At 43.1% G+C, this 15450-nt stretch overlaps 1 protein-coding gene across 10 annotated transcripts in view, besides 2 other annotated features; it reads right to left on the bottom strand.

The window, feature by feature from the left end:
• The window catches only part of PDGFRA (platelet derived growth factor receptor alpha), a 68953-nt gene that overhangs the window by 9473 nt on the left and 44030 nt on the right, over positions 1 to 15450 (bottom strand). For 7 of the 10 annotated variants that reach the window (NM_001347828.2, NM_006206.6, XM_005265743.2 and 4 more), the window contains 10 exons: positions 15043 to 15236; positions 14148 to 14242; positions 13800 to 13932; positions 11281 to 11385; positions 10767 to 10877; positions 10258 to 10411; positions 8291 to 8457; positions 3287 to 3402; positions 2810 to 2932; positions 1232 to 1343 (listed from right to left, as the gene is read on the bottom strand). In NM_001347828.2, coding sequence (NP_001334757.1) covers positions 1232 to 1343; positions 2810 to 2932; positions 3287 to 3402; positions 8291 to 8457; positions 10258 to 10411; positions 10767 to 10877; positions 11281 to 11385; positions 13800 to 13932; positions 14148 to 14242; positions 15043 to 15236 — 1310 coding nt within the window. Of the gene's footprint in view, positions 1 to 1231; positions 1344 to 2809; positions 2933 to 3286; positions 3403 to 6794; positions 7193 to 8290; positions 8458 to 10257; positions 10412 to 10766; positions 10878 to 11280; positions 11386 to 13799; positions 13933 to 14147; positions 14243 to 15042; positions 15237 to 15450 lie in introns of those variants that run through there. The other 3 variants (XM_006714041.4, NM_001347827.2, XM_017008281.2) reach the window with 1 other exon arrangement.
• Positions 6481 to 7680: an enhancer, noted in NCBI's record as "BRD4-independent group 4 enhancer chr4:55147260-55148459 (GRCh37/hg19 assembly coordinates)". NCBI's record gives its function as "activates an origin of replication core promoter dependent on BRD2, P300/CBP, MED14 and CDK7 cofactors, and independent of BRD4, by STARR-seq in HCT116 cells {active_cell/tissue: HCT116}" and the evidence as "EXISTENCE:reporter gene assay evidence [ECO:0000049][PMID:35650434]".
• Positions 10094 to 10617: an enhancer, noted in NCBI's record as "OCT4-NANOG hESC enhancer chr4:55144323-55144846 (GRCh37/hg19 assembly coordinates)". NCBI's record gives its function as "activates a minimal SCP1, AML or CMV promoter by ChIP-STARR-seq in primed H9 embryonic stem cells {active_cell/tissue: H9 hESC(primed)}" and the evidence as "EXISTENCE:reporter gene assay evidence [ECO:0000049][PMID:30033119]".

Raw genomic sequence — 15450 nt, 5'->3', positions numbered from 1 at the left:
GACTAACAAACGCTCAGTGCATTGCTGAAACACTTGGCATGATAGAACACTGTTAGAAAACCTTTCAGATCCTATAGCCTTGAAGCACTGGTTTTTTCAAGAAAATTCAGTGTCATCATCTCCTTGACTTCAGAGACCAGCTCAAACCTTAAGTTTAATTAGGACTCCAGGTTGGTCAAGTCCAAGTACCATCACAAAAATTCTACATCTTTAGAAATAAGCGTTCAAGTGTTTTTCAATGTGTATGACTACTGGATCAACACAGACAAAATGAACTAGAAAAGCAAGGAGAAATTCTGAATCATTAAAACCCAGAGAGTCTTTTTCACCAGGTATGTTCAAATAGCTAAAGCAAAAATCAAAGTTGTGGCCTCTCTGCTTTTAAGGGAGTACAGGACTCCATTAAGCCACTGGGGGATGATCCATTGTGATCATCCATGGAGGGAGAACTAGGATGAAAAAGGAGACGGGGCAGGAAGACACACTTTACTATTACATCCTGATCACAGATAAATTCATGAAACATTTCACACTTTCAAAGCCAAGGCCAGGTCAAGTTAAGTTCCCTCTCTGAAGCCTTCCCACACTATTCCAGGACTCCTTTCTCTTTACTCAAGACTCAAATTACAATTTTAAATCAGCAGCACACTGTTTATCCCTAAGTGTGTAAGTCTCATCTCCCCAGATGAACCATCCAGATGTCAGGGTTATGGCTCATCCTTCTCTTAGGGACCTCACCGGATAGCCCAGGGCACCTGGGTTGTTCAGCACCTGGGTTGTCAAGACTGGCCAATGACAACCAGGAATGAGAGCCCTGCCCTTCCCGCCACGTACCCCTTTTCACCTGAGCATCAATCGCCACCAGGTGAGGGAGGGCCCACTCTCCATGGGTGAACCCATGTGACCCAAAGCCCAAAATGAAAAAGCAGCTGGGATGCGAATGTCATTGGGACCACTTCCAGTGGGAGGAAGTCACTCTGGCATAGCCCAAAGGAGAGGAGGGGCAGAGGCCAGGAGTAAGACGCAACCCCCAACAAAAACCCCCATCTCCACCTGCATGGGCCTATCTCAGACACAATAAGGCACAACATGTGGTTTGAGGTGGCTGCAGCATACTGGCCTCACACCAGGTTATCTTAACACTGTCTACATCCTGGGGCTTGAAAGAACACATTTTCCTTCCAGTGGTGTTTCAGAACAGCCCAAATAAGCAGCAATGTCAGGCCCATACCAAGGGAAAAGATCTCCCAGAGCAGAATGCCATAAGACCAGACATCACTCAGTGTGGTGTAGAGGTTGTCAAAGATGCTCTCAGGAGCCATCCACTTCACGGGCAGAAAGGTCTGCAAGGAAGGAGGGAGACAGTTAAACCCATGTCTACTCACTGATGATCCACAGCAGTGGAAATAGAAAAGGGTTCCCCTTGGGCTCTTAATAACTTGTGCTAATTATCTTGTCCCATTTGAGTGTCTTTTACATGTGTTTTGTTCATTACTGAACTCTCAGTCCCTGGCACATAGTAGGTGCTCAATAAATACTAGATGAATGATGAATGGTCAATATTGCCTTTTATGTCCTCCAAAGGAATAATATCCAAAAACATTAATCCTGAATTTTCACCCAAAAGGTGTAAGCCCTGAATGGACCAGTTTCCTATTTTTAGATATTCCTGGGAACAAAACTAAGAACAGATCCAATGATCTATGAGCCGATTACAGCTATCACGGCCACATGAGTACATGAATCACACACAGCATGGATGCAGGCCCATGTCTTTCTCTAGGTGGAAGCAGCAGCTGCCATAAGCTGTCTCACATCCAGTGCAGTGAGGTGATTTGGAATTGTACCTACAGGGAGCAGATATATCCCCACAGGGAGCTATGTCATCTGCTGAGAAGTGGAAGGGATGGGAAGAATGGTTCAAGTAGACAACAAAATGAGTATCTTTAAGGAAACTGTGCCTCCAAGATACATAAACCCAAATGGTTCCAATCTATTTTAGGGGTCACAGATGGCTTTTGAAAATCTGATAAAAGCTTAAAATGTAAAGACACCATCCTTGGGAATGCATGCTTGTCCATGCATACACGCAATTGACATATTAATAGCTAACACTTGCCAGATGCAGTGGCTCACACCTGTCATCCCAGCACTTTGGGAGGCTGAGGCAGGTAGATCACTTGAGGCCAGGAGTTCGAGACCAGTCTGGGCAACATGGTGAAACCCTGTCTCTACTAAAAATACAAAAATTAGCTGAACATGGTGGTGCATGCCTGTAATCCCACCTACTCGGGAGGCTAAGGCAGGAGAATTGCTTCAACCTGGGAGGCAGAAGTTTGCAGTGAGCCAAGATTGCGCCACTGCACTCCAGCCTGGGTGACAGAGTGAGACTCTGTCTCAAAAAAAAAGAAAATAAATAAATAAATAAATAAATAAATAAATAAATAAATAAAATAGCTAACATTATTGAGTGCTGTTTCTATATGCCAGGCACTGTCCTAAGCACTTTACATGAATTCATTGATTTAATCCCCATAGCAACTCAGCAAATAGGTACTATTATCACCTCCCACTACAATCAGGGAGACAGAGGGGCAGAACAGTCAAGTATCTAGCCCCAAATCCAAATTAAGTAAGTGGTGGAGCTGGCACTCAAACCTGGGCAATCTGCTGCCAAGGCAGTGTACTGACCCCTTGAAATCTATTGATGTTTTAAAAAACAGGCACCGAATCTCTAGAAGCAACACCTGACTTTAGAGATTAAAGTGAAGGAGGATGAGCCTGACCAGTGAGGGAAGTGAGGACGTACACTGCCTTTCGACACATAGTTCGAATCATGCATGATGTCTCTGGCCAGGCCAAAGTCACAGATCTTCACAATTTTTCCTTGTGCCAGGAGGACGTTGCGAGCAGCCAGATCACGGTGGACACACTGCATGGAAAAGGAAGAAATGACTCAGGATCAAGCCATCTGTAGCTGAATAGCATCACCCCTGCAAGACTGGCTGATCCATGGTGGCACTTGGAGCTGTCTGCCTGGATATAAAGGGCTGGCCTTCTCCCAGGTTCTCACTCCACCCACTCCCAACAGAGAGAAAGCTCTAGAGAAGAGTAGATGCCTGATGATTTCAGACTCCCTGACCTGCGTAGGGGATGAAGGAGAGAGACAGGTAAGTAAGAGGCCCCTGTTATTAATGGCCTTTCCAACATCTATCTCCTAGCATCTCCGTCCACACTCCACTCACTGAAATCTGGGTCTAAAAAGGTCTGTGTTCCTTGAACTTACATTTTTTGAAGCCAAAAACTCCATTCCTCGGGCAACTTGATAGGTGAAGCTCAACAAATCCAATAAAGTAAGGCCTTCTGAGTTATCATCTGAAAGGAGGTTTTTGACTTCTGAGTCTGCAGAAAAGAAATTAAATGTATTGGTGCTGGCAGGCAGCAGGAAATCATCAGGTTGCAGAGGCATGCCCAAAGAACACATCCAAAAATATTTTCTTAATTTTTTTGTAGAATGTTTAGATCTCACAGATGAATATCACTATGCAAAGATTCTATCTTAGAAAATAGATATATAGGCCAGGCATGGTGGCTTATGCCTATAATCCCAGCACTTTGGGAGGCCGAGGTGGGTGGATTGCCTGAGGTCAGAAGTTTGAGACCAGTCTGGCCAACATGGTAAAACCCTATCTCTACTAATAATACAAAAAAATTAGCCAGGCATGGTGGCATGTGCCTGTAATCCCAGCTACTCAGGAGGCTGAGGCAGGGGAATTGCTTGAATCAGGGAGGAGGAGGTTGCAATGAGTTGCAGTGAGCCAAGATCACACCACTGCACTGCAGCCTGGGTGACAGAGTGAGACTCTGTCTCAAAAAAAAAAAAAAAAAAAAAAGATAGAAAGAATGAAAGAAAGGAAAGAGATATGCAGAAACATATATCTGGTTTAAAAATTATACACACACACACACACGCAATGATATAGTTTGGATATGTGTCCCCACCCAAATCTCATGTTGAAGTGTAATCCCCAGTATTGGAGGTGGGGCCTGGTGGGAGGTGACTGGATCATGGGGGTGAATTTCTCACAAATGGTTTAGCACCATCCCCTTGGTGCTATCCTTGCAAAAGTGAGTGACTTCTTACAAGATCTGCCTGTTTAAAACTGTATGGCACCTCTCTCTCTCTCTCTCTCTCTCTCTCTCTCTCTGTCTCTCTCTCACTTGCTCCTGCTCTGGCCATGTGATATGCCTGCTCCCCCTTTACCTTCCACCATGATTGGAAGCTTCCTGAGGCCTCTCCAGAAGCAAATGCCTGTATAGCCTGCAGAATCCATGTGCCAATGAAACCTCTTTTCTTTATAAATTACTCAGTCTCAGGTATTTCTTTATAGCAATGCAAAAACAGCCTAATAGAGAAAATTGGTATCAAGGAATGGGGAATTGCTGTAAAGATAACTGGGTAACAGGCAGAGATAAGAAGAGTTTGGAGGGCTCAGAAGAAGACAGGAAGATGAAGGAAAGTTTGGAACTTCTTAGAGACTGGTTAAATGCTTGTGACCAAAATGCTGATAATGATATGGACAATGAAATCCAGGCTGCCAAGGTCTCGGATGAAAATGAAGAACTTATTGGGAACTGGAGTAAAGGTCACCCTTGTTAAGCTTCAGCAAAGAACTTGGCCACATTATGTCCATGCCCTAGGAATATGTGGAAGTTTGAACTTGAGAGTGATGACCTAGGATATCTGGTGGAAGAAATTTCTAAGCAGCAAAGTGTTCACGATATGGCCTGGCTGCTTCCAATAGCCTACAGTCAGATGCAGAAGCAAAGAAATGACTTGAAGTTGAAACTTATATTTAAAAGAGAAGCAGAGGCTGGGCGCAGTGGCTCACACCTATAATCCCAACACTTTGGGAGGATGAGTGAGAGGATTGCTTGAGTCCAAGAGTTCAAACTAGCCTGGACAACATAGTGAGACCCCATCTCTTTAAAATAAAAAAAAAGTAAAAGGGAAGCAGAGCATAAAAGGTTGGAAAATTTGTAGCTTGGCCATGTGACAGAGAAAGTAAAAGCTTTTTTGGGAGAGAATTAAAGAGGGCTGCTGGGCAACCACTTGCTAGAGAAATTTGCATAACTAAAAAGGAGGCAAAGGCTGATTGCCAAAACAATGGGAAAAAGGCCTTTAAGGCATTTCAGACACCTTCATGGCAGCCCCTCCCATCACAGGCCCAGAGGCCTAGGAGGGAAGAATGGTCTCATGGGCCAGCCCCAGGGTCCACTGCCCTGTGCAGCCTCGAGACACTGCTCCCTGCATCCCTATGACTCCAGCTCCAGCTGTGGCTCAAAGGAGTTCAGGTGCAGCTTGGGCTGCTGCTTCAGCTTGTGACAGCCATAAACCTTGGCCGCTTCCATGTGGTGTTAGCCTGTGGGTGCACAGAGTGTTAAGAGTTGAGGCTTGGGAGCCTCTGCCTAGATTTCGGAGGATATATTAAAAAACCAGGGTGTCCAGACAGAAGCATGCTGCAGGATTGGAGCCCTCACAGAGAACCTCTACTAGGGCACTGCAGAGGGGAAATGTGGGGTTGAAGTCCCCACACAGAGTCTCCACTGGGGCACTGCCTCGTGAAGCTACGAGGGGAGGGCCACCATCCTCCATGAATAATATATCCACCAACAGCCTGCACTCTGCACCAGGAAAAACCACAGGCACTCGACAACAGCCCCTGAGAGCAGCTGCAGGGGCTAAACCCTGCAAAGCCACAGGGTGTTCCATCCCTCCCAAGAGCTCCACCCCTTGCATCAGTGTGCTCTGGACATGGGATATGGAGTCAATGGAGTTTATTTGGAGTTTTCAGCCCTGCTGGGTTCTGAACTTCTGTGGGGCTTGTAGCCCCTTTCTTTTGGCCGATTTCTCCCTTTGGGAATGGGAATGTTGACCCAATGCCTATAACCCCATTGTATCTTGAAAGTAAATAACTTGTTCTTTATTTTACAGGCTCATAGGTGGAAGGGACCTGCCTTGTGTCAGATAAGACTTTGGACTTTGAGTTGATGCTGGAATGAGTTAAGGCTTGAGGGGACTATTGTGGAGGGATGATTGTATTTTGAAATGTGAGAAGGACATGAGATTTGGGAGGGTCCAGGGTCAGTATGATATAGTTTGAATATGTGTCCCCACCCAAATCTCATGTTGAATTGTAATCTCCAGTATTGGAGGTGGGGACTGGTGGCAGATGAATGGATCATGGGGACAGATTTCTTACGAACAATTTAGCACCATCCTTCTGGTGCTGTCCTCGCAATAGTAAGTGACTTCTTGTAAGATCTGACTGTTTAGAAGTGTGTGGCACCTCTCTCTTTCTCTCTCTCGCTTGCTCTTGCTCTGGCCATGTGATGTGCCTGCACTGCTTTGCCTTCTGCCATGACTTCATGGCTTCATGAGGCCTCTCCAAAAACTGAGCAGATCTACCAGTATCTTGATTCCTGTAAAGCCTGCAGAATCATGAACTAATTAAACCTCTTTCCCTTATAAATTACCCAGTCTCAAGTATTTATTTATAGCAATAAAAGAACAGCCTAAAACACACAGAGACATACACGCACACACAAAACACACACACAGCCACAAGGACCAATCTTACACATAATTATTTTGTTTACCTCCTAAATTTCTTTTTTTCAACCATAATTAGCAAATCATCTCAGCTACCTTTAAAACACACATACACATAAACACACACTAAAATCTTCCATGATGAAATACATGGAGCACACATACAAGCTACATGAAAAAGTAGTTTCTGTGAATTGCTTTATTTTCTTTTTAAAGCCACCTTTGTAGTACTTTGCTTATAATTTGTTAATAAAATCAACCACCAATCACATGTGATAGCATCTTAGAGATCAGTGCCAATGACTTTCCTTTGAGTTTCTTTGTTTGTAACTTGTCCACTTTCCCCAGTTAGTCCCATCTGGAAGGGTCCCAGGGTTTTCGAGGAAGAAGGCAATTTAATCCAGAAGTTCTCAATTCTTTTTGAAAATGTTCAGCAAGTGAAGAGTAGCTCTAGCCATTCACGATTTTTTTCAGATAGTCACGGAAGGCCAGAAAGCAGTGGTCTGCCTGCCAACAGGGCTTGGGCCTGAGCATGACTCAGGTTCCTCTGACATCTCGTGCCAACTCCACCAGCCCAGCCTGGGAAGCAATGTAAACTATTTTTAACAATATGGGAGGGGAGAGGAAGTACTGGTTCCGATAACTCTCACTGGCTAATCTTTTAAAAGCGCTTGGAAGTTCACCCATTTGGCAATGAGAAGTGAATGGAACTTGGAACCGCAGAAATGGAAAATATTGTGTACTGAGCTTTGCAAAACAAACACATTCTTTTTTAAATGGATTGTACCTTTCACTTAAGAACCTGAAAACATTCAGAGCACATCAATAATTTCCAAAACAATGTCCAGGGCAGCTCAACACTTTTTTGCATTGACTAATGGGAAGGCTCAGACCCAAAAAGGCAAGCTCACAGGACAAGCCAATGTCAGACTTCCAGCTTCATGTCTGTGACCAGTTCAGGGCTCTGGAGGAACCACCCTGAGCAGATGTGAAGTGATCCATCTGGTCTGGGCATCAGCTGGACTCCCTGGAGTTTATAAATCAATTTAACCCTGCCACATATTCATGTACTTGAAAAACAGATAGACCCACCTTCAAAATACATTCAACAGAAACACTGGTCCAGAAAATATAACTGCAAATTATCTACTCTAGAGTTCCTATCACAAATTGAATGTTAGGAAAAGTAAAAGCAAGGGTTACTGAACTCATAGACATCAGAGACTTCTAAAACTTAAGGGAAAAAAAGCAAGGTGAGGAACCAACATAAGACAGCCAACTTGTAATTCTGCCAAGTAAGGGCATTAAAAAAAATCAATCACCATATTTTCATTAAAAAAGAAAAAGACAGCAATAAAAAAGGAAGTTCATTATATCAGAATAAATAATTATTTTTTTTAAAAAATGTTTACTGCAGGAACACACCAAGAAAATTCTTTAAAACTATTAAATTTAAAGTTTAAAAAATTTGTTACATTGTCAGCTTTTATTCTTTTCAATTTACAGGCCACAAACCTGGAAACATGTCACAGAACTGGTTGTGCAGACCTGCATTTAGAGACCACGTGGGCTGCCAGGTTCACTTACCATCCCTATACACTTCCCTCTAAATACTTTAAGTATCATATTAAACCACTGGAAAGTCCCAACACCCAGAGTGAGTATAGACACTTTTACCTAACATAGATTTCTTCTTATATGAGGCTGGACGATCATAGAGTGATCTCTGGATGTCGGAATATTTAGAAACCTCTTTCCTTTCTAGCATGGGGACATACTGTGTAGTATCAGCCTGCTTCATGTCCATGTAGTCACCATTGTTTTCAAAAGATAAAATAACATAGCTGTAAAAACAGAAAGAGAAATCTTACCCAGGGTGCCCTTCTGAAGTGGTCATTCCACTTTCAGTAGATGATGATTATGTGCCAGGTACTGAGGTAGGCATGGGAGCTAACTGGGTAAAAGCAAAACCAATCCATACCTTTCACATGAGGTGATCTAGTCAAGGAAATGAGCATTAATCAAATAGTCGCACAAATACATGCATCACAGCAATTCCACTACTGGGTATCTACCAGAGGAAAGGAAGTCATACTAAAAAGATACTTGCACACACATGTTTATAGCAGCACAATTCACATATTGAAAAAATGTGGAACCAACCCCAAATGCCCATCAATCAAGGAGTGGATAAAGAAACTGCAGTGTATCTATACATATGTATGTGTAGGTGTGCATATATATATATATATATGTAACTCAGCTATAAAAAGGAATGAATTAATGGCTTTTGCAGCAACCTGGATGGGATTAGAGACTATTATTCTAAGTGAAGTAACTCAGAAATGGAAACCAAACATCGTACGTTCTCACTCATAAGTGAGAGCTAAGCTATGAGGATGCAAAGGCATAAGAATGACACAATGGACTTGGGGACTCGGGGAAAAATTGAGAGGCAGGTGAGGGATAAAAGACTACAAACTGGGTTCAGTGTATACTGCTCCAGTGATGGGTGCACCAAAATCTCACAAATCACCACTGAAGAATTTACTCATGTAACCAAATACCACTTGTTCCCCAAAAACCTATGGAAATAAAAAAATTTTTTAAATAGGGAAAAAAAGAAATGTAAAAAACAAAATAAATACACAGATCAACTCAAACTCAGCTGTGTTGTGAAGGAAGAAAGGTTTCAATAGCTTGTAAGGAAAATGACTTGATCTGGGGGTCAAGGAAGCACTTTTCAGAAGACGTAGAATGGATCCCACTGACAAAGATGGGAAAGACTAGCGGAATATTTGTCATGGCACCTGGCACATACAAAGGACTCCACAAATGTCAGCTGCCATGATGACTACTGTTCACTTGTTTTCAGAGCCAGTTCCCTGCACATCCTTAGCAGGAGCCCGCACATCCTGAAGAGCCACATCTAAGACAGTGGGGCTGTGCTCCCATGGACCTGTAAGTCCATTACACTTAAAGTTTGAAGAATTCACTACGTTAAGTCTGTCATTATTCTTTCTCAGTTTTTCAACTCACAAGCCTTGGTTGGAACTTGAGCCGTGTGGCCATGTGGCTTGGGCATACAATTCCTTCTACCCAATCAATTTAGCACCCATTTGGTGTCCACCAAGTAATTTATTATGAAGTGAATTCATTGTACTTTCTGATCTTACAGAATTTCTTACCTACAGAGTTCTTTATAGCCACTTGTAGATTTCTGCAGTAGGGATCACTATCATTGACGTCATTTATAGGTCCAGGTTCAGCAAGGACCTCGAGCTTGGAGATCCACAGACAGTTCTTGCAAGGTTCCAGAACTCAAGCATCCCTGGCCAGAGCTGCATTTTATAGGTCTAAGTGGATCACATGTAAATAGCAGAAGAGCTCCCAGAGTCATTCTAACTCACTCTCATTCAAACCTATCAGCAAGGCCTTCCCATGTGACACCCCAGTCCAAAACACCTTTAGACATCATGCATCTCTCTGCATGACCATGGAAAGACTGGACAGGGTGGTTTGACTCTAAGTCTTGCTACCTTGGGCACTGAATCTGCAGACATGATATCTATCAGGACATGGGTCTTTCCATTTGTGATGCCTGTAAGATAATGATAGACAGCAACATCTCTCTTTGCACCCACCTCCGTGTGCTTTCATCAGCAGGGTTCAATCCAAAGATATCCAGCTCTTTCTTTGGCTTCTCTGGGTGGTGGCTCAGGAAGCTATCCCTATTCTTATGCAAATAGTTGACCAAATCTCCATAGAAGCAATACTCTGTGATGATGTAAATGGGGCCTATGGGGACAAAAGCCGTTAGGAGATGGGTATGAAAATGAAGAACAGAAAAGCCATGAATTGTCCTGCAGACCATATGGCACAGAAAAAAATAAGATACCAAAAAAGTTTTTTTTTTTTTTTTTTTTTTTTTTTTTTAATAAAGAGCCATGAATGGCTATGACTGGACTGGCAACAGATTTTGCTCAAAAACCAATGAGCTTCCATCAATTCAAGGGACCAGTCAGCTCCATTCAAGGGACTTCTATTCCCTGCCATGTGTGGGGATGGAGAGTGGAGGATTTAAGCCTGATTGAACAGTTTTCACAACCACATGTGTCCAGTGAAAATCCTCACTCCAGGTCAGTGAGCCCACCTGACTTGGTGCAGGCTCCCAGCAAGTTTACAATGTTCAAATGTGGCCCCAGGTGAGTCATTATCTTCAGTTCAGACATGAGAGCTTGTTTTTCACTGGATCTGGCCGTGGCTGTTGAAAGAATAAATCACATATCAGTCCAGCTGAGCTACCAACTTCCTGTTCTCAGAAAAAAACCAAGAATATGACTAATCCTGTGATTGGATATCATTCTATTTACCAGAAGTCTAAAAGAAGCAGATAGCTACTTGGCCTCAGTGCTAATAACTAATTCCTGGTCTTTCTAGTAAAAAGAAGTCACTGGAAATAACAAGCTCTTAATTTTCCAACATACAGGCAGCAAGAGCAATCTAAATAAACCTAATCTAAATACACATAAAACCTGGAGTCAAAATAATCAGGACCTAGTCCTAAATGTCTTATTTACTAGCTGCATGATTTTGAGAAATTCCCTTAATATCCCCATGCTCAAAAAATCCCCGTGCTCAAAAAATCCCCAGGAAGGAGCACTTACGTTTTAGCATCTTCACTGCAACTTTCATGACAGGTTGGGACCGGCTTAATCCATAGGCTGTTCCTTCAACCACCTTCCCAAACGCTCCAGACCCCAAGACCCGACCTGTGGGCAGGCAGAATCATTAACACCCAAAAACTCCAGACGCCTCCTCAGCTTTCTGCACCGTAGCCAGCTCTCTGCGGGCGGACAGCTGGGCGAGTGTCTTTCCTGTTTGGAGTAATCATAATGACTCCTCCAAGTCATCGTGTCAAAAAAGGAATTGAGCCCACAGGGAAGGAAATTAGCATAATTGCTTTTGTCGAATAACACTTGCAAGGGAAAGAAAACACAGACGGGAGAAAGGAGGGTGCAGCCCTCCCTGGTGTGAGCGCGCTGTCTACCAGCTCCGTGCTGGGCCAGCCCCTGGGATCCTCTTGCCTTCGGGGCTCTCACCCACACCTCCTGGCTCTCTCCCCTTCTGTTTTCCATATGCAAACAGGGGCATCTTTTGTCTTAGTAAATTACTAGCCACTGGAAATACTTCAGTATTCAAAATATCACTGATTCTAAGGAGTGACTAAATAAAAACTTCAGGCTGGGCTCACTGCTCCCTATTTGTTAGGAAAGCCACTCTACCAAGAGCTAAACATGCCCGAGAGCACAGCAATTAGCTTCATGTTGGGAGGAGACATACGTAAAGACACTGAAGCTGTTGTCCCACCCTGAAAGAGCTCACCCTGAGAGAAACATTTCCCGGGGTGTCAGTCTCACCACGGATAGCCAAGCCAGGAAAAGACTTGGCTCATAAAAGACACTAACAGCCAACACTGCCTCTTACTGCACGTCTGTGTTACTGAAAATCGTACCTGGAAAGGTATTGCTTCACCAGCAATGCCTCTTGGTATAATGGGAATTATGCCCTTTTCCCCATATTTTACTACTTTTTAACTCCCTAAGCTCCTCATCCCTTGTTGGGAAATAGGCAGGAAAATAAAGAAAGCTTAGATATAAATATTTGAAATTGGGGGGCAGCTCTTATAACCGCCCCATGGATTCTCCTTGTCCGCTGCCTAGACAGAGCCGATTTACCAAGACAGGGGAATTGCAATAGAAAAAGGGTTTAATTCACACAGAGCCAGCTGTACGGGAGACCTATTCTACTATTACTACTATTACTCGAATCAGTGTCTCTGAAACTGGGGGAATTTCTACTATTCTGCTATTACTCAAATCAGTGTCTCTGAAACTGGGGGAATGGGGTTTTTAAGGATGATTTGGTGGGTAGGGGGTGAAAAGGGGAGTGCTGATTGGTTGGGTCAAAGATGAAATTATAGGGAGCTGATGCTGTCCTCTTGCACTGAGTCAGTTCCTAGGTAGGGGCCCCAAGATCAGATGAGCCAGTTTATTGACCTGGGTGGTGTCAGCTGGTGCATCGAAATACAGGGTCTCCAAAATATCTCAAGCACTGACCTCAGGTTTTACAACAGTGACCCCTAAACCATACTTTCTAATCTTGTAGCTAATTCGTTAGTCCCGCAAAGGCAGTCTAGTTCCCAGGGAAAAAGAGGGTTTGTTTTGGCAAAGGGCTATTATTGTCTTTTTTTCAAAGTCAAACTATAAACTAAGTTCCTCTCAAAGTTAGTTCGGCCTATGCCCAGGAAGGAACAAGGACAACTTGGAGGCTAAAGCAAAATGGAGTTGGTTAGGTCATATCTCATTCACTGTCATAATTTCCTCAGTTACAATTTTTGCAAAGGTGATTTCACTCTGGTGCCTTGCTTGATTTCAGTTTACCTAACTCTCTAAGAAGACTTAAACTCTTCTGTATTTTGCAATGAGACCGGTGGATAATTAAAACCTGCATTTGGCATTCTTTAACATATATACTGTTAGATCATTCATCATAACACAACCTCTACCTCTACTTTCATTTGCCTTTGTCTTGCTTTCATTCATTAGGAATGTGATTTAAAAAAGAAATACTCCCTTGGACTAAAGCTTCATATACTTGGTCTCAGCCCAGGATTGAAATACTTGAAATGCTTGTGATAAGTTGGCTTGCTTATTTTTACATATTTTGCCTCAAAATGTACCTATATTTTTATATTCCATATTCCAAATATGTAAAAAGGAGTATCTAATGCATCTTCAGAATGTACTGAATCAAAATACATTTTGTGGTTGTCCTCATTCATTTCTCATCTGCTCATTTTTAGTCACAGAAATTCATTTTCAATTTGTGTCATTTCTAAAGAAAAGCAATTTTGGTGGGTATCTTTGCCAGCCCTCTTCATATTCTCTTCTCCCTTTGTAAAATTTTCCTTAACTATAATTTGTTATGGAAAGAGATTTAAAAAAATCATTGCAATGATCCAATTAACTTACTGTCAAGACAGAAATGTATTTCTGAAAGCAAATTTCCATTGCCTAGTTCTTACTAAGCACAAGCTCAGATCTCTATTCTGCCAAGGCCTATAAATTGTAAAGTTGTGTGCAAGGGAAAAGGGAGTCTTGGGAGGTTACCCCATGGAACTTACCAAGCACTAGTCCATCTCTTGGAAACTCCCATCTTGAGTCATAAGGCAGCTGCATCGGGTCCACATAAATATATTCATGTCCATCTGGGCTGATTGATTCAATGACCCTCCAGCGAATTTCATACCTCGGTTTCTATAAATGACCAGGACAGGTAACTGGTGAATTACCAAAGTCCCAGTGCACCAGAGCTTCACTGAAGCAGCACAGTGACTGGACACAGTAGAGTCCAACAACGTTCACTCCACATGTAATTGCTGAGCTCCTTCTCTGTGCCAAGCACTGAACTAGGTTGCTATGCTTGTTCTCATTGGCTTCAAAGATCTTTAGTTTTATGAGAAAATATCTACCTGTTTCCAAATGACAACCAGGACAATAAGTGAGATGATCACAATCACCAACAGCACCAGGACTGCAGCAGCCACCGTGAGTTCAGAACGCAGGGCTACGTGACAAGAGAGAGAGGCACAATGAAAAGTTTCCTGGCAGACATGCACAGGGGCAGCAAGGTAGTGTGGCTGTGTCTGAGCCAGGAATCTCTCACTGCTGGTGGGGAAGTGTGAGGGCTGCCTGGTTCATTTTAGGGATAGGCAGTACCATCTCTCAAACCATCTACACCCAGGAAACTACATCAACTCTTTCCTTATACAAGAAGGGGACAAAATTCAATCAGGAGAACTCAGTATTTTCTCCAAAGTTGCTCCAACAGTAACCTTGTGGACAGAATTTGAATAGGATAAATGCAATTGACAGCTACTATATGGGCAGACACCTCTACTTCATATGCTTTATTATAAAGCTTATTTTGTAAGTTGCATTTTGCTTATATTGCTTTTGGCTTCATCTATCTTTTAAGGAGCAATGAGACAGAAGATCCTTCCCCACACTCCATCCACATACACAGACATTCAAAGTAGAGACTGTAGCTATATTATTAGACAAGCAAAATGTTGAGGGGCCTCTGCAAAAATGCAGTTTTGGATCTGAATCTAAAACAACGTCCTAGGTAGAGGTTGCAGTGAGCCAATATTGTGCCATTGCACTCCAGCCTGGGCCACAGAGCAAAACTCTGTCTCAAAAAACAAAACAAAATAAAACAAAGTCCCACATGACTTTAAGAGCATTCATAACTGAATTTCTGCCTTGGGACCTTCATTTCTATATAACCCCTATCTGGGATTCAAAGTTCCGCCTGGGGCAGATGCGGCTCAGCTGATGAGTTGTCCTGACTGTTGAGGAACTCACTGGGAGCCACCAGCTTCAGCTCTCGGTTCTCAGCTCCAAGGAGATTCTTAGCCAGGCATCGCACGGCGATGGTCTCCTCCACTTTGGCGAAAGTCACACGGCCCTCCACGGTACTCCTGTCTCGGGAGTGGATCTCCGTGATGATGTTTGAGACATTGTTGGCCAAAATAGTCCAGGAAGTTTCATTATTACATCTAGAGAGAAAAAGGGCCTAAGTATAGGGCCAATTCCTGAGAGTCATGGCAATGAGTGGAGCCACGGGAACACTCTAAGATGGCAAGGAGTTGGGACCTTGTCTGCATTTCGGGGCAATACACACTGATTTATTTTACATGCAGATGAACATTAAAACTTGTCTGCATGTGCTGAAGAGGGAATAACTCACACATGAACAACTGAAAGCTAAGT

Source organism: Homo sapiens, chromosome 4, assembly GCF_000001405.40.
Source record: "Homo sapiens chromosome 4, GRCh38.p14 Primary Assembly".
Classification (NCBI taxonomy): Eukaryota; Metazoa; Chordata; class Mammalia; order Primates; family Hominidae; genus Homo; species Homo sapiens.
Note: the sequence above shows the minus strand (reverse complement) of the source record. Positions and strands in the feature narration are given on the sequence as shown.